The sequence below is a fragment of the Homo sapiens genome, chromosome 2, assembly GCF_000001405.40.
Source record: "Homo sapiens chromosome 2, GRCh38.p14 Primary Assembly".
NCBI lineage: Eukaryota > Metazoa > Chordata > Mammalia > Primates > Hominidae > Homo > Homo sapiens.
Genome location: NC_000002.12, coordinates 226,857,820 through 226,877,165, shown reverse-complemented (window position 1 = coordinate 226,877,165; position 19,346 = coordinate 226,857,820). Strand labels below are relative to the sequence as shown.

At 39.7% G+C, this 19,346-nt stretch overlaps 1 protein-coding gene across 39 annotated transcripts in view; it reads right to left on the bottom strand.

The window, feature by feature from the left end:
* Positions 1-19,346, bottom strand: part of RHBDD1 (rhomboid domain containing 1) — a 199,052-nt gene that overhangs the window by 122,045 nt on the left and 57,661 nt on the right. For 38 of the 39 annotated variants that reach the window (XR_007082541.1, NM_001349069.2, XM_047445998.1 and 35 more), the window contains 2 exons: positions 12,040-12,562; positions 9,848-9,980 (listed from right to left, as the gene is read on the bottom strand). Coding sequence is in view for 38 of the 39 variants with exons in the window: in NM_001349069.2 (NP_001335998.1) it covers positions 9,848-9,980; positions 12,040-12,472 (566 nt within the window). In the remaining variant the exon portion in view is untranslated. The remainder of the gene's footprint in view (positions 1-9,847; positions 9,981-12,039; positions 12,563-19,346) is intronic. The other variant, NM_001349071.2, reaches the window with a different exon arrangement.

Below are 19,346 nucleotides of genomic sequence, written 5' to 3'. Positions count from 1 at the left end.
AGGTTCCACCTTGGAACTAATCTTAAGCAACCACCACATGCCAAATTAGTAGTGCAAAGAGGGATATCCACGATTACCTGAAAAAGCTACTAAAACAATCCCTCTTACCCTTCCCAAGTACATACCTGTATGAGGCCAAACTGACCTTCAATCAAAATGATATAGCTCTAGGAGTTAACACAGAAGCAAATATGGGAATCAGATTTTTTTAATTAAGCCAAACATTAAAAGTTTTGCAAAAAAATTGCCATTCATCTCATTTTGTTTGAAAACTACATTAATTTTTCATAAACTTATCTATGTGAACACATATTGTGCTTACTGATATTTAAAATGAATTATTGATAAATTATGTTATGAATGTTAATGAATTATATTAATTTTTTTTAATTCTTAGTTTTAATTTCCAATATGGTAAATATTGATAGCTATAACCCACATAAACCAAAACTCTTTGAGGTCCTCAATAATTTTCAAGAGTCTAAATGGGTTTTATGATCAAAAGTTTGAGAACCACTAGTTCAGAGTATGAATTTAGGGGCCTGATTGCAGAAACTTAAACACTGGCTATCCAATGGACTAGCTGATATTTAAGTAGCTACAATAAGTTAACTTTCTGTGCTTCAGTTTCTTCATCTCTTAAGTGGTAGAAGTAATAATTACTTCTTCACAAAGTAGGTATAAGGATGATATGTGATAATATACGTAAAGAGCTTAAATGGTTTTTGGCATGTAGGAAGTTCCCAATACACCAGTCATTCCTATACGGCCCATGAACTGTCACTGGGCCTTGGAAACTGCTCTCCCGTGAGGCTGCTCTTTTCGATTCTCTCAGTCACTGCACTAGTTCTAGCCTTCAGTTTCTTCTCTTGTCTATGTCAACAGTGTAAATGGACACCTGCCACCAATTCTGCAAATCTTTATACTATTCCTGGCCTCCTGTCCTAAACCACATATTCATTCATGGCTTTTCCTTCTCAGAAACCAAAGCCGTGTGTCCATTCTGACTACAAGCATGGCCTAAATTTATTAACCTGCCATCCAAAGCCCTCTATGATTTGGCCTCTTCTCTATGGTTTGGCCTCTTCCCAACTTGGAGTTTATAAAATGCACCATGAAGAACATTTGTTCTGTACATTGCTGCATGCCAGTGCTAAAACAAAAGGGTGCTATTGTCAAGTAAACTTAGGAAACTAATTGGCAAATCCGATTTCCATCCTGCAATGTTTTCAGAATCCTTCACATGTTCATGTGCACTGTGCCCTTGCAGGAACACAGAACACCACATGAGCTGAAGTCTACTGACCAGGAAGCCCTGTTTCAGGATACATCTCAAGGAACTAGTGGTCAAAAGAACACATTTGAAGGAACACCACTAGCTTTATCTCCCAGCATTTATGGATAGATTGTGATTTCATAAATTTGCCAAGCTTCCTATATTTGTTCTTTCTCTTCCCCTTTCAAAACAAAGAGCAGTCTATCTCATCATCTGCCCTATTATTTCCAAACACTCAACATACATAGCCCTGTCCTCTGCAGCGCCTCCTAATTTCTCAAATCAGAGTTACTTTCCTTTTCTGTTCCTCTATTTTTATTGAACTAACATTCCCACCTTCTGTTCTGGTTTGGGGGGTAGTTAGTGTTTCTTTTGCTAAACTGTGAAGTCTCGATGGGTACGGAAATAGTGTATTGATTTAGGTCAACATTTAACAAGGATCTCAAAAGCACAGGCACATGAGGGAATAAACATTCTCTTTTACTAAAGATTTAATTCAGAATTGTTCAAGATTACTACCTCCTTACATTTGAGTGAGATACCAAGTTCTAAAACAATGAGATATCAGTCCACCTTACAATGGAAAGAATAAAGTAAAAATACCTGAGACAGTTCATAAAGCAATCTAGCAAGCCATTTCAAGCCAAACAGCAACCATGAAAACAACTGATGCTCCTTATCTTATGTCCATCCAACAACAAATATTTACTAATTGCCTACTTTGTGTCAGGCAGATGGTTAAGATACAAAGGTAAACAAGAAACAGCCCCTAAAGAAGCTCATAGCCTAGAAAGAAAGTGAAAAACACAGATTAATTATGATGGAGGAAGGGCTTACGGTAGATAAATCTACAAACACTACAGAAGCAAAGACAAAGAAGTAATTAACACTGCCTGGAGGAATCAGGGGAAGTAGCATACAATAGATACTATGTGATTTGGGTTTTGAATAACCAGGAATTCACAAGGAGACAATAAAAGGCATGCCAGGGAGAGGGAAGAGAGGCGCACACGCACAGGCTGAGACACATGGGATTGGCATTCTGAGTTTGAATTTCCATCACTTTCTATTTTTTGTTTATGCTGTAGTAGGCTGAATAATGGTTCCCCAAAAGACATCTACATCCAAATCCCTGGAACTGATGAATGTAACCATATATGGCAAGGATTTAGCAAGTGTGATTAAGGATCTTGAGGTACAGAGATCATCCAGGATTACCAGGGTGACTCCTAAATGCAATCACAAGTGTCCTGATAAGAAAGAGACGAGGGATATTTAACACAGATAGAAAAAGGAGAAGGCCACATGACCCTGGACACAGAGATGGAGTGATGCAGCCCCAAGCTAAGGAATGGCAGCAGCCACCAGGAGCTGGAAGGAGTAAGGTAATAGTTTCTCCCCTACAAACTGCTCTAGAGTCTAGAGGGAACTCCACCCTGACAACACCAACTGTAGAAGGAATTTGTGTTATTGTAAGCCCCCAGGTTTGTGGTACTTTGTTACAGCAACAATAAGAAACTAATAAAGATGCTGTCTACTATCTGCCTCCAATACCATTTCCTGACATCCATAGAGAACACCAGAGTAGCCTCACATTCTTTGTCCCCCAACCCTACCTCCTACAGTCCTCCTAGGTAATGGCACTGTCCATGCAGATAATCTTCCTGATATGATTTGGCTCTGTGTCCCCACCCAAATCTCATCTTGAATCATAATCTGAATATACTCCTCATGTGTCAAGGGGGGTCCTGGTAGGAGGTGAGTGGAACATGGGTGCAGTTTCTCCCATGCTGGTCTCATGATAGTGAGTTCTCATGAGATCTGGTTGTTTGATAAGTGTCTGGTACTTCCCCTGTGCTCTCTCTTACACCTGCCACCATGTAGGACGACCTTGAATCACCTCCACCTTCTGCCATGACTGTAAGTTTCCTGAGGCCTCCTCAGCCATGGGGAACTGTGAGTCAATTAAACTTCTTTGGTTTATAAATCACCCAGTCTCAGATATTCTTTATAGCAGTGTGAAAACAGACCCACCCACACCTTAAACTCACAACCCCTTGAACAACTCCTTGACTACCAGGACCTTTTCTTCCTCCATGTCTCAATTTCATACCATCATAGACATTCTCAGGGCCATGTCACCAGCAAAACCAACTCCAGCATCCTCTCCTCTGACTACCAATTTCTATTCTCACAGCTTTCTCCGTTTTCAAACTTGACAAAACCTCCTATCTCTTAATTCCTCCATTATCCTGCAGTCTACAAGGCTCTTCAGCTCCATTACTTTCCCTTCCCCAGAGTCATCACTGCACCAACCCCCTCTCAACAGAAACATGCAGCTTTGCCAAGAAGCTTATGAGGCATCAGGTCCCTCACTTGCCTGGGCTCATTCAGAGCTCTGGGAGGGGTCCCAGCAACATGTTCACATGGTCATATTTCTTTTATACTTGTGAAAGTGAGATATCTTAACCACAACCTACTAAAACTGCTGTCTCTTTCCACTCTAACTCCCCCTCTGTCACACTTCCTCCCATATCAGTTGTCACTGGAGTAGCCCCAGGCATTTTTGGGATTCAGCTAAAGGGACGTTGAGTTGAGGATACATTTGGTTTGGGTTCAGCATGGTATATTTATGTGGTTTGTGGTCATTTCTGTGCATAGCTGAGTCACTGCCAGTCTTTACAGTGCAAAAATGGCTTCCAGAAATACTCTTAATGCCCACTGTGCATTTGTAACCAGGATGATAACAGGATATGCAAGAGCAGCGGTCCCACAGCACTCTCAAGTGTCCTGTGGCAGCTAGCACTTGCAGTAAAGTCATCATGCTGGAATCAGGACCAGTGTCTGGAAAAATCTTCCAAACACCAAGCATGTAAAACTGTAAGAAGAGGACTCACTTCTCATTCATATAGTCAAAACTGAAATTAGAGGCTCTCCCACATCAGGAACATATATGATAATGCAGTATATGCAATTATAAATGTACCATGTTCCTTTCCTTTTTGGAGAATCCTGCAAACTAACTTTATCAGAATTCCTGTGTTTATAATTCTCAAACAAAATTATATGCAAATCACATCAGAAAGTGTAAACAAATAATCAGTAGGACTTTGGCTTTCTGGCAATGAATAAAGAGGACTGCATCATAAGAACATTAATTAAGTACTTAAATTACTTGCTGATTTAAGAACAAAGTAGATCAATGAAGAAAACTAAAACCTGCACTTTGCCACTAAAGGTCAATGACAACATTTGATTCAATTCAAAAAACATTTGATATTGATCACTTCACAAAAACTTGAAAAGTACTGAAATTTTACAGCTTGCCTGTAAAAAAAACATTGATAGAGGCTTTCCAAAGTTGGACAGTGATTCTAAAAATTTACATGATGAGCTGTGAAGAAAGCTCTTCTAAACTCTTAATAATAGAAAACTAATTTTGAGCCACCATGATGTTCTCTCTACGGAAATACTATTGCCAGGTTATTTTCATATGAAAAAGAGATCAGAAAGCATGCAGCAAAACCTGTCGGGGAAAATATTACAGAGGTGTGTCAGGGAATTAATATTATATTATTTGTATGGATTTAATAATGTTTATAATATTTGTCAGGTCTTAAAATTTTATGAACTGTCTTTCCCTTTCTCATTTAAAATTTTTACTTTTTTCTGCAATTTTGTACTTTTTTCCTAAGGAGAACCCATAAAACCAAATAAGCTTGAAGTCCATAAAACTAAGACCAGCCTTTGACAAACATTCATCTTCCTCAATTCCTTGCCTTGGGGTCTTAACCCCCAACTCTGGATTAATCTCATCAAACAAATATAAAAGGCATAACCAATGAAGAAGTCATCCTTTATAATTCCCCCTAAAATAAACAATCCAGACAAGGATAACCACTGATCTAGACAAAAAGTTACTGGAAACAAGTTATCCGCATGATGTCCAAGTGTCACCTCATATAGTACTTGCTAATTCCAAAGGGATAAAGGTGCCCTTATAATGGAGACTACCTTAACCAAGTAATTAAACTTGTAATTCCTAACATAGGAGCCACCTGGCATGTATGTCCTTCCTGACGTAATGCAACATGTATCATCCCTATGGAGTATTATCGCCAAAAAAGAGCCAGTTTAATCTGAATCTAATTAAGCCTTTAGACCCAACTTTCAGTTTCCAGAAATGCAACGGATAGAGGGACAAGTTAAACAAGCCCCAAAGGAAACAAGCAGACAAGTCTAGAGTGTGGGATATTCTATAAAACGAGAGATCTGATATCTTTAAAATGTCAACTTCATGGAAAAGTAAAAAGGTGGGAAGACCGTCTTAGAATACAAGAATAAATAAATACAATAATCAAAGGCAATATATGAATTTTGGATCCTGGTTCTCCTTTGGCCACAACAGTTATTAAAGACATTTTGAACACTAGGAGAATCTGAACATGAACCAATTACTAAACAACATTAAGGAATTACTGTTAATTTTCTTTTGCATGACAACAGTAATGTGGTTTTGTAAAATTATATTTTTCTGTTTAACAGATGCCTGCTGAAGTTTTTAGGGGTGAAGTTATTATGTTTACAACTTACTGTCAAATGGTGCATCAACATTTCTTTATGTTTGAAAATTTATAAATTTATAAATATTTTTGAAAACAGAAAATTGAAACAAGTGGAAAAATAAATTGAAAATAAAATTTAAATTGAAAAATAATTGAAAATCTGTATAATAAAAAATTGAAACAAGTAAAAAATATATTTTTTCTCTCATTTGATCAATCTAGCCAAATAATTTTTAGTTGGGTCAAAGTAATTTTATTCTTGTCAAATATTAGCAATGAAGCAGTATCCAAAGCCTAGGGGGTAATGCTTTCAGCTGTCATATTTTACCAAATACAGTGGATCCTTGAACAACATGGGTTTGAACTATGCAGGTCCACTTACATGAGGATCTTCTTCCACCTCTGCTACCCATGAGACAATAAGACCAACTCCTCCCCCTATTCTCCTCCTCCTCCTCCTCAATGTGAAGATGATGAGGATAAAGACCTTTATAATGATCCACTTCCACTTAACAAATAGTGCATACATTTTCTCTTCTTTATGATGATCTTAATAACATTTTATTTTCTCTAGCTTACTGTAACAATACAGTATATGATACATATAACATGCACAATGTGTGTTACCTGACTGTGTATGTTATTAGTAAGGCTTTCAGTCAATAGTAGGCTATTGATAGTTAAGTCTTTGGGGTGTCAAAAATTATATATGAATTTTCAACTACATGGGGGCGCAGCATCCCTAACCCCCAAGTTGTTCAGGGGTCAACTGTAATACCCCAGGGTCCAAATGCAGCCAAGGCTTGCTTATTTAGTGTTTAAGAGTGGCTTATGGGCATTTTTAGACTGCTGTCATTCAGGACGAAAAAAGTCAAGTAGGAGCAAAGGGAAGTAGGGAGTGGAAGTCAAACAAACAAAATTAAATAACAGCTGATTTATTAATTTTAGAAAGCAAAAGAAATTAGGTATGATTCTATTTAGGAACAGTGTACACATCCAGTGATTTATTTCATAATAAAAGGGTTGAGTACTTCCTATTGTTTACAAAGAGCTCATTCGCATATGACACCTTAAAACTGACTTATCAAACAGAGAAGGTAAGTAATAGCCCATTACACAGGTGAGGAAAATGAGGCTCAGAGAGGCTGTGTACCTTGCCCGAGGTCCCACGGCCAGTATGTGAGCCCGGCCCTGTCACATTCAACCGCTCTCCTCTAGTATAGTCGCTGAGTGGCTGTCTTACTCTGGGTGATGTTCATGATTCTCCACTTTGGTTTTCTGTCTAGATAGCCTAAGGCTCAGACGAGAACACACAGAGGTTCATAATCTCGCTAGAAGGTAAAACCAGGCAACATATCCCCCTTCCTCCCATCAACAGAATCTTGGTGGGGGTAGGAGGTGGGAAGGGACAGAAGCCTGGTCTAGGAAGGAGGCACCAGAGGTGGCCTGCACATCTCCCTCCTGGGACACCCCTTCAGACACTATCACCTATCAGGGTCTCAGGACACGAAGGAAAATGGAAAGCCGGATGTGAAGCAGAGCAACCTCTGAAGTAAGTACACACAGACACTGTGAGAAGCAAAAGCACCACGTGAATGAGGGAGATTGCTTCACTCTGGCATCAAGTCCACATGCCTCATACTCCTCACGATGCCTATTTGGGGTGGCTTTCCTTCATAAAACTCTGTAACTGGGGGAAATTACTAATTCCGTGGCTTTCATAAAACACAGAGGTCCACCAAATGTTTGCTTTGGCAGATTTTTTTTCCTCCCGAAGGGCAGCCCATACAGTCCTGCAATAAAGCAAGCTTTGTTCTAAAGATTTACAGTGTTTTCCCAATGAAAATTCTAATTGACAACCATCAAGCAAATAACAATGCATTGCAAAGAGAGCTCTAGTTTCAGCCATTCTTCCGAGATCCATCTCAAAGAAGCATTCACTGCTTAGGTTTCCTGGGCCAGTGTTTAGCGTAGTCTTTATTTGGATACATGTGTAAGTAGATGCTTGTATATTAGAAGTTTATCATTCAAAGCAGTCAAATCTTAAAAATCAAAAGACTTTAAGTTCAAAGACAGGAAATTTCATTTACTTCCCAAGCTCAGAATTACCGGTGCCTCCACAAAGAATATGCATATGACACAGAAATGCAACCATCCCTTTTCCATGTAAGTTGGGGGGAACCCTAAAAAATGAAATGCATAAAAAGCACTTCAGAAATAGTTGCATAAGAATATTAAACGCACTGTTATTCAATGGATTCATCACAGGATGAAAGTTCAAATAGCAGAGGGAGTGATTTTCATATGAATGTGGGTGTTGCCAGTCACATACAAGAGCCTATCATTGACACAGAGAACCAAGTCACATCAAGCAAGTCAGGGGAGCAGTGAGTGACAAGGTATAGAGAGGGCTGTTCAGATAAGGGACAGACATTACCGGATGCTTTCTCAAAGAAAACTTTGAAGATTTTGTTAGGCTTTCTTCGTGGAACTGTCAAAAGTAGCAATACAATTGTAAATGAGTGGTACTCAGGGGCCACGTCACTGTCATTTATGGGCCAGCTGCCAGTGGCTGCCCGTGATGGGAAATTAGCATTAAAGAAGGACCTGGAGTTACCGGGCTGACACACAGCCCCATGAGAATACTCTCAAATAAGGTAAGACACCCAGCACAGTCACACAAATCAAAACCAAAATAAAAACTGTCTGTAAAGAACAGTAGCAAATAGAAATCTTCCTTCTTTCTGAACCTTCCTGAATCTCACCCTTTGCCAACGTCCAGTCCCACAGTAAAAACAAACATTATGCATTTCCAGTTGCACAAGACAGATTAAGGAAAGTGAAGCTGGTGGAAGAGGTGGAAAAAATAACACAACTTATCTTCCTTTTTCTAAACAAAAAGCAGAGAAAAGAACCAAAGGAAGAAAGTGCAGCATGAATGGGCAGGAGCCCCAGACAGGAGTCAGGGGGCCTGAATCCTCACAAGGCTGGTGTCTACCACAAACTGTTTGTTGATAAGTCTCTTAACCTTCCGAATTTCCAAGTCCTTCTCTGTAAGGGAAAAAATTCATCTAAATCAGCAGTTCTGAAACTGTACTTCCTGGAGCTCTAGGGTTTTGTGGAGGTGCCTCCTCTGAGGAAGCCACAGCAACATGGGAGTAAGGTGAAAGGGGCCCCATTCCACTTCTCAACCCAAAAGACTTCAGAGCTGATCCATTTCACATTTTGAGTGTTAAGTAAAGCCTTTTGTTTAAAAAGTTCTACTACCAAGACAATTGACAGCTAAAATGGCTTAAAAGCATTAGATCGGCCGGGTGCGGTGGCTCATGCCTGTAATCCCAGCACTTTGGGAGGCCAAGGCCGGCAGATCACAAGGTCAAGAGATCGAGACCATCCTGGCCAACATGGTGAAACCCCAACTCTACTAAAAATATAAAAATTAGCCAGGTGTGGTGGCACACGCCTGTAATCCCAGCTACTTGGGAGGCTGAGGCAGGAGAATTGCTTGAACCCAGGGGGTGGAGGTTGCAGTGAGCTGAGATCACGCCACTGCACTCCAACCTGGGTAACAGAGCGAGACTCCATCTCAAAAAAAAAAGAATAATAATAATAATAAAAAGCATTAGATCAACATACCTTATAGCTTTTTAATCTTTATAGTTACGTGGTTTCTATGTGCTTCTTTGGAATCTTGCTTTCAGAATTAACCAGCTGATTGGCTGGTTAATATTGATCCTCAGATCAGTATAGCAGGTTCTCCTACTTAAAAAAAATGAGGAATCTGCAACTCAGTTAAGACAAGTGACCCAAAATTATACAGCTTAATAGTTGAAAAGATTCAAACCCAGAAATATCTGACATTAAAACTATTAAGCTTGATTCTGTCCTAATAGATAAAGAATAAACCTCACTGTGAAAAACAATTGGTTACCTCATTATTATTGCAATTTTTTTCTCCACAGAACATCAGGTCCTTCAACTGTATTCCCCAAAAGAAAACACTTACCCTGGTGAGAATAAATGAATAGCCACAAGTTCGACCCAACAAGCAAATCTGTTCGGTACAGGAAAGCCCAAAATGTTGACAAAGCCTCCAGGGCAATAATGGTTGTTAAGAACTTTCAAAGCAAACAAAACTCCTAAAAGAGAATGAAGAACATGCAAATATCAACAATCCAAAAGTAGGAGTATCAACATTTACAAAGAAAGTTAATTAAAAGTGAAAATGATTATTCGATTACATCCAACTTTGTGCTTTAAAACATACCCTATTCCTTACAACCTTGCATTTGGTAAAAAGACAACGTTAAAGGCAGTCACTCCTTTGATGTTTCTAAATATAGAAGTTCATATTGGTGTTCAGTATGCTACTAAATACATAATACCTACCATGTGAATAAAATACTATTATTAGTATTAAACGCCAGTGAACTGTGCACTACAAAATAGTTATGCTATATAAATTTTAACTCAATAAAAATACCAGTAATATGTATTTTTCTAACCTCTATGGAAAAACATGTTGAAGACAGGGCATATATTCTTTCTTCTCCCACAATTAGATGCATAAGGATACATCTTGGAAGGAAAGGGGAAGGATGTCAGGAAAAGCAGAAGGAAGGATTAGATTTCCTTGTTTCAGGACTACCTCTCTCCTCCCCTTCACATTCTAATATTTAGAACGCCTAATTTAAATCCTGCTGGCAATTTTGGTCCCATGAAATATCTGTAAAAAGGAACTAGTGAGGAAGAAAGTGAGAGACAATGCATCACACAGCTAATCTGTAGACTGGGCTCAAGTCCCAGCTCCATCGCTTCCGAGCTGGGTAACCTTGTGCTAGTAACCTCACTTCTCTGGGTCTTGGCTTCCTCATCTATAAAATCAAGACAATCCCTCAACAGTCAGCAGGTGGTCAGAAAAAAAACTACAAATAAAAAAAGTAAAATAAAATCAAGGCCGGGCACAGTGGCTCACGCCTGTAATCCCAGCACTTTGGGAGGCCAAGGTGGGTGAATCACAAGGTCAAGAGATAGAGACCATCCTGGCCAGCATGGTGAAACCCCATCTGTACTAAAAATACAAAAATTAGCTGGGCATGGTGGTGCGTGCCTTGTAGTCCCAGCTACTCGGGAGGCTGTGGCAGGAGAATCGCTTGAACCTGGGAGGCGGAGGTTGCAGTGAGCCGAGATCACGCCACTGCCCTTCAGGCCTGGTGCCAGAGCGAGACTCCGTCTCAAAAAAAATAAATAAATAATAAAATAAAATAAAGATAATCCCATCTCCATGTGGATCTGCTGCATAAATTAAATTGGTTAGGTTATGCAGAGTGATTATCATGGCTCCTAAAACATGGCCAGCATGCCATAGCAGGGTGTGGTCCATTTATTAACGAAGTCATCCAGAGGCATCGCAGGACAGTTCTCCAGGTGGCCTTGGACCTATGTAGTTCTCCCCCTCCTTTCTCGCTTGTAGTTCTCAAGAATAACTATGGAAATGTGCTGGAAATCCAACACCCTGAGATAAAAGGGGGCTGGCTGAAACAGCCTAATCCTCTCCCGAATAGGATGTCTTTCAAAGCTTTGCCCAGTGATTCATGTGATTCCTAGGTTTGTACCTGGCTGCCTCTTTGGGGTTCCTTATTTGCATGCAAGGAACACACACAGTGAAGACTCCAACAGCCCTAGGCAGCTTTTTGAGCCTTGAAGATGGGCTCACGATGAATCCTAGGCTCCTGTTTTCCCTTGCTGCCTAACTGTAAATACTAAATCTGCCTCATGTAACTTGTTGCAGATGAGTGTGCTCTGTCTCACCAGGTGCAGACAAGTTGGTAATCAGAGACAGCACACTGAGCCTACTTCACAAGCACAGTCATCTTTTTTGAGAACTCCCTATTACAAATACATCTGTGGGTCTTTCTGTGACCCTACCATAAGGAGCTGGTGCATATTTCCAATACTATGTCTTCTACAAAACCACCTTCCAGCAGGTCCTAGTGCAGACTAAGAGTGAATAATGCAGCATAATGTAGAATGGCAAAAACTAGTCCCTGCATGCTCCAGCCTCCTCTTCAAGACGCAAAGCCTCAGCAGCCCTTAACCACTCAGAATTTGATAGGGACCCACACTTCATAAAATGACAGCAGCCACACCTCCCTTGCTTCCTTTATGCATGCAACCTCAAAATTTTGTCTCCCTTACCTGAGAAACCTACAGCACAGCTCCTTTTGAAGTCAGGTTCATCCATAAATTCGGCAACAGCAAATTGCAAGAGCAGGTATACCACTCCAGTAAGTACAGAAAATGCGGTGATAACATAGGCAAACCATCTACTTCCCAGTCTTCTTTCTAGATTTATTCCTTTCCAGAGCATGGATGCCATATTGAAATACAAATGCCAATCATCAGCATGGTGAAGGGGAGAGAGCAGTAAACGCTGCCAGTCTTTTTGCTGGTAACACTTCTCCACACTAAGGCAGGAGCTATACAGTGGCTTCTGAGGGTTCAAGAAGAACCAGATGTTGAGGGCCAAAGTTGCTAGGGTGACAGGTGGAATATTGTTGATCCCAACATGGAAGATTTGAGAAAGGAGTAGAATAAGTCCAGTATTTATCCCTCTTGATCTCCGTTGCATGGCCAGATATCAGGGAAACAGCTCAGCAATGGGAAAACGTACTCAGGTGGTCAGTTTCAGGTATCTGGGGAGATATACAGACGGCTGAACCTAAAACACAAAATGCATGTGAAAAACCATCAATTAAGAATTAGTACATATATAAGACATACTCGCTTCAAGACAAACTCCCATGAGGCAAATGCTACTTCTCATTCTAACAGAAATATTTATGTTCGACATCTTCAAGAGTAATATCGAGGATGCTGACTGACACCCTTCCTTCATTTTACATTCTAGAATAGAAATGTTATCCCAAATCCCAATGAATCAGTTAATGGACAGGTATGTTTTTCTCTGACAAACACACCACGAAATTAACTTCACTTCCCAAACAAACATGTAACCTCATGAAAAACCTACAAAGATAGTGTGCAAGTATTAAATGATTTCTACTCAGAATCCTGGCCAGGATTCTTTATCCCCTCCATTTTTTTCAAAGAAATATTTGATTTTGATATGTTAGAATGAGTTTGCTCCAAAGTTTTTAAACATCAACAAGCAAGTTTTAAGACACGAGCATACATTATCTTTAATCCCAATTTCCACACTGCCAGATATCAGTGGTCTGAACTCTACTTTCATAACAACTTCAGCTTTTCGTTACCTACTCTACAAGCCAAATCCTGGGTTGAAACACAGTCCTTGTTTTTAAGAGGCTCACTTTCCACCAAGAAATAAACCAACAGTGGCCACATAATGTTCTAAATGCAGTGAGAGAGGGAACCCAGAGCACAGGCACACAACACAGCCTGAGGTGGTGATCTGACTATGGTCTTCAAGGGTGATTTGGGGTTGACAATGAGAAGTTCCATGGCTTACTAGCCCGCTTCTCCACCCCGCTGGACCTGGGCTGGCACTGTGACATGCTTTGGCTAACAGAATGTGGAGGAAGGGATACTACATAAGCTCCCAGCCTATACCTCAAGATGATTTATAGGCTTCTCTCTCTTGAAACCCTCTCAAACAACATGTGAAAACTTTAGGCCAGCCTGCTGGGTAATGAAAGAGAGGCACACACTCCAGTCACCCTGAAGGTCCTTGCCACTGGTCAGCTACTACTCCAGAGGTGAAGCTGTCTAGCTGACCACAGGTATACAAGTGAGTCTCGCTGAGCCCAGCCTAATTTGCTGACCCACAAAACAGTGAGCTAAATAAATGGTACTTGGTTTACTTCACTGAGCTTTGGAGTGGTTTGTTATGCAACAACTACTAACTAATACAGAAGGTATTGCCTTTCGCGAGTGCTGTGGTTTAGGTGTTTGTCCCTCCAAAACCTCATGTTGAATGAATGAATGAATGTATTTATTTATTTAGAGCCAGAATCTCACTCTGTAGCCCAGGCTGGAGTGCAATGGCATGATCTTGGCTCACTGCCACCTCCACCTCCTGGGTGCAAATGATTCTTATGCCTCAGCCTCCTGAGTAGCTGGGATTACAGGCATGTGTCACCATGCCTGGCTATTTTTAGTAGAGACTAGGTGTCACCGTGTTGGTCAGGCTGGTCTCAAACTCCTGACCTCAGGTGATCCGTCTGCCTCAGCCTCCCAAAGTGCTGGGATTACAGGCATGAGCCACTAGGCCCGGCCTCATGTTGAAATCCGATCCCCAGTATTGGAAGTAGAGCCTAATGGGAGGTGTTTGGGTCATGGGGGAATATCCCTCATGAAAAGATGAATGCCCTCCCTGGGGTCAGGGGATGAGTGAGTTCTCACTCTTATTAGTTCCTGCCAGTGCTGGTTGTTAAAAGAGACTGGCACCTCCCCACTCCCTTGCTTCCTCTCTCATCACATGATCTCTGCACATGCTAGCTCCCCTTCACCTTTCACCGCAAATGGAAATGGCCTGAGGCCCCCACCAGATGCTCAATCTTGAACTTTACAGCCAGTAGAACTGTGAGCTAAATAGACCTCTTTTCTTTATAAATTACTCAGACTCAGGTATTTATAGCAACCCTAAACGGACTAAGCCAGGGAGGGACTGTTTCATGCTCATGAGAAGAAGCTAGTAAGGGAAGAGATGCAGGCAGAGACACAGACTAAAGATGCAAGAGATAAATAAAAAGGATCAAGTGCTTGGAGGGAAGAGTCTTTTCCTCTTAACAGAAAGAAAAGAAAAATCAGGTGTAGCTATTAGGGGCAAAATGTTGAAAAAGTTCTCATCTAATGGTTTCTGCTTTCTCTGTGGAGATTAATTGGCCCCCAACCAAACAGGTAACTCACTCTAATACCCTAAGGATTCTAACTTGGACTGCACACTGGACAATGCATGAGTTTTAGAGTTAAAAAAAAAAAAAAAAAAGGCAGGATTCTCCTATCTTCTAGCTCTGTGACCTGGGGCAAATCATTTAAACTTTCTGAACTTCAATTTCCTCCCTTTAAGAAACATAAAACCTCCTTCCCAGGATTACTGTGACATGCTTGGAACAAAAGAGATGCAGAATAAACAGTAGCTACTACTTTCATTTCTATAAAGTAAACTTACTTATGTGAGAATTAATTCCTTTGCAAATGGTAACATCCTAAAAAGACTCAAATGTACTCCTATGCCCCCATATGGATTCTTATTATCAACATCACACCAAAACAATGTTCAGAAAAAAATTATGCATGTGTATATATATATGTGTATGCATACACACACAAAATTAGCCATATACATACACGTGCATGCACACACACATTATTGGCAAAACCCCATGTATTAGCACAACCCGTTTCTATATTGTTATTATTGTAGCTCTGTAGCATTCTTATGAACTAGAGAATTTAATGAAATTTAAACTGAAATGCTCCCACATAACTTTGGATAAATGGCCTATATTTTTCACATTAGAACTCAAGTCAACTTTCAACTCTTTACCTACCGTAACTTTTTTGTAATTCTCCTAAATTTATCAATATGTGTGCACACGTGTGCCCACACACACACACAGAAATATTTATGTTACATATATCAAACATTATTACCTTTAACAGGAACAATGGAAAAACTGGCCTTGATCATTGATCAGTAAATAATCAGCTTACAAGAAATCACAAAATAAACCCTTCAATATCATTGCCAACAGTGTCTTATGATGCTGGGCTTTATGTAGCAGAAAATCAAAACTAACTACATCTTTGCTCAAGAAAAACTTGCCCCTCAATTACAATCATTAGTAATGAAGAATATAGATAAAAGGACAGAATTCCCAGTCTTACTTCACACTGTGTCCCAGGCTCTGATTGCACTTTCCTGAGTTACTTCTGGCTGGATGAAAAGGTGTCTTTCTGTCTGCATCCCTTCGCACCTCCCAGCTCTCCACTGTTGACTGCTCCTGCTTCTGTGGGACACCTTGCTCTCCTGAGGCTTCACTCCTCCTTCCAACCCGTTTCTCTGCTGTTCACTTCTCCTCTATCCCTACTCTCTCCTGCACACACTCAAGGGCTTCCACTTTAATGATTTTTGTAATTCTTTTTATCAGGATGATGCCCAAATTTCTATTTTTCAGCTTTGATTTCTCAGGTTTCAGGGACGTAATCTTAGAAGAAGATATAGTTTGCCTGATGTCTTGGTTTCTGAAAACTGAATTATCCTTTCTCACAGAATGATGATTCAGCCATTCCTTCTTTCACTCATGTATTTAATAAACATGTATCAAGTGCCATATGCATGCCAGTCCCTGTGCCAGGCACTGGAGGTACAGCAAATAACAAAACACTTATATTCCCAGCCTCTAAATGGCCTACTTCTATTTGTTGAAGGAAATAAAAATATTGTCCACAGGAAATCAAAAGAGAAGTAAAATTGTGTGGCTTGGCTTCTCAGTAAATGTATACTTAATGCGAAAGGAGATATAACCATAGCCAATGTGAGAAGTGCCCGTCTTTTGGGCTCCACCTTTGTAAACAAAGGCCATTAGAGTCCCAGTGTAGGTAGAACATACGTTTTGAGTCTTAAGTAGTAGCAAAGACCAATCAGTCCTAGTTCATAACAACTCTAGGGCAGTTTCCTTCCTAATCAGTTACCAAGTCAGCCATCCAAGGTGAGGGATGCAACCTGTCACAAGACAACTTAGAAAATCCAACTGATCCATGTAAAGATCAAATCTGTAACCTGACGCTGTGGGCCAGGGAGGCACGGCTCTAGGAACACCAAGGAAGACAGATCACAATAAGTGAGCACTGACTATAAAATGAATATTGTTAATGTCATGCCCATCAAATACATAGAAATTTTTAGAGTGCTGTGCTATCTGAAAGACCACAGAGGCAACATCAATTATAGCAACTTATCTGTGAACTGAAAACCTGTAAAATCTGTTGGGTTTTGGAAATGGTTTATGTATTATTCTAACTTGTATCCAGACCACAAGCCAGTTACCAGAGTTCAAGAAAGGCCAGTCCCTGTGCTCCCTTACCTTACAAACACACCCTCCCCACCAGACTCAACATGCCCCAAGCTGAACACTGGACTGTCCCTTCCAAATCAGCTCCTCCTCTCATGCACCCCACCTCAAGACATGGGATTTCCATCTATCCAGTTGTTCAAGCCAAAGACATAGAAAGATCCTTGACATGTCTTTTGACCTTAACCTTATCACCCTGCTACCCCCAAATCCTATCCATCAAGTTTTATTAATTCTTCCAAACAGTTTTTTTTTATCAATCTACTTCTTTCTAGCTCTAGGGCTACTACTCTAGTCTGGGTCACCATCACAGCTTGCCTGATTACCATAAAATCCAACCAACTGAATTCTCTGCTTCTCCTCTGATAGCCACTAACTATTTTCCACCACTGCTTAGAGTAATCTTGTATAAAACTGAAGCTGGACTCCCCAGTAGTAAGCCTTTGATGGCTTGTCATCACAGCAAGAATAAGTCCAAACTCTTCCCCATAACTGTATGCTTATATCACCAGTTCCCTGCCCGCCACTATGGTCTCATCTCAAGCTCGTCTCTGCATCAGTCACTATGCTCCAGTCACACAGGTGCTCCCAAATCAGTAGCTCCAGGATTATAGTATAAATGGCCAAGGGCAAGAATAACCTTCTCCGTTTTGATCACCAACAACACCCAGAGCTACCACAGGATCACCACAAATACACAGTGACTGGCATATGGTCCATGCTTAGTAAATGCACTCATCCCTGGGTATCCATGGAAGATTGGTTCCAGGACCTCCAACAGATACCAAAATCGATGGATGCTCAAGTCCCTTACATAAAACAGTGTAGTATTTGCATACAACCTATGAACACCCTCCCATATACTTCAAATCACCTCTAGGTAACTTATAATATCTAATACAATGTAAATGCTATGCAAATAGTTGTTTTATTGTATTGTTAGGGAATAATGACAAGAAAAAAAAGTCTGTACATGTTCAGTGCTGACACAATCATCCATTTCCCACCCCACTCCCGCCAAAAATTTTCAATCTGTAGTTGGCTGAATCCATGGATACAGAATCCATGTATGTGGAGGGCCAATTGTATTTCTCAAATGACTCAAGATTAGTGTATTTTTAAATGTGTCTACATTATATGATAAATGAAACTGATTAAGAAGGTCTGAATACCTATGGCATATTCATCTTTAAGTATTTTTCCTGAAATTGTAACAACTTTTCCCATAGCACTATACATATTATTCCACTTAGCATTTTTAGGTCCACAACAGTATTTATAACGTTAATCTCAACATTATAGAAATAAATCTCTGATCCATTTAAAATGTATTGATAAGTTGCTTTGCCAGAACTATTTGACAAAAAATAGCATTTTAATTATGTAATAATACAGACTAGACAGTACTATATCAAGGTTGTGGCAGAGAGAAATGGAAGGTTTCTTGAAATATTGACAGGAAAATTAGCCATATTTACTTTTAATGAGAAATTAAAAATTAAACAGGTATGTAATAAGAAAGACTAAGCAGCTAGAACAAACAAAAGAAACTGAATTCATAACTTGGGAAACCAATGTGTCTCAAGGGGGAGAGAAAGGAGTAAAAAGGGAAAAGAAACTAATTTCAGTGATTTTCAATTCTACTTACAAAGCAGAAAATATTTCATCATTATCATTTACTAAGGCAGTATATATCTCAATTTCCAGATTTAAATGTTCAATAAGAATTGAGACCATTAAATTGCAAGAATATATACCAGTTATAAATTCTATTCCCAATTTGGTGTCTGCTACCAACCAAATTAATTTCACAAGAAAGACAGGAACTACAGAGTCTTAATGGGAGTAATCAAATGCTGTTCTGAAGATTGAGACTTCCATATTACTAAAAGTATAACAAATTCCAAAATTATTCACTGAAATATTCTTAAATTGTATGTTTTTTCCTCTTTAAGATTCAAGAAAAGTCTGTCACTATATAATTGAGATATATTAATGCTATATCATTAGCACTACTTTCATGCCTTTGGTAAGTTTCATTTAACAGTTTTGAATATTTGAAGTGTATGTTCTAAGAAATAGGGGAAAATTTAGGTTTGTTCAAGTCATTTGGCAAGAGGCTTCTTATCACTCAAACTCAGTACTTTGCTAAAACCTGACCTTCCAGATGCTTAACCTATTTATGCTGGAGGTTGTAATTTTTTGTGTGTGAAAAATCAGACCTTGGCGATGACCTTGAACAGCAGGATATAAATAACTCCCACAAGCTTAGCATTCCAATAATGGAACACTAGGTATAAATGGGATTTAGCATTCATCTTTAAAAGCCGAAATATAACTCACATACCATAAAATTCAATCTTAAGGAGCACAATTCAGTGTTTTTTTTTAGTATATTCACAAGGTTGTGCATATCTAATTCTAGAATTTCCATGACTTCAAAGA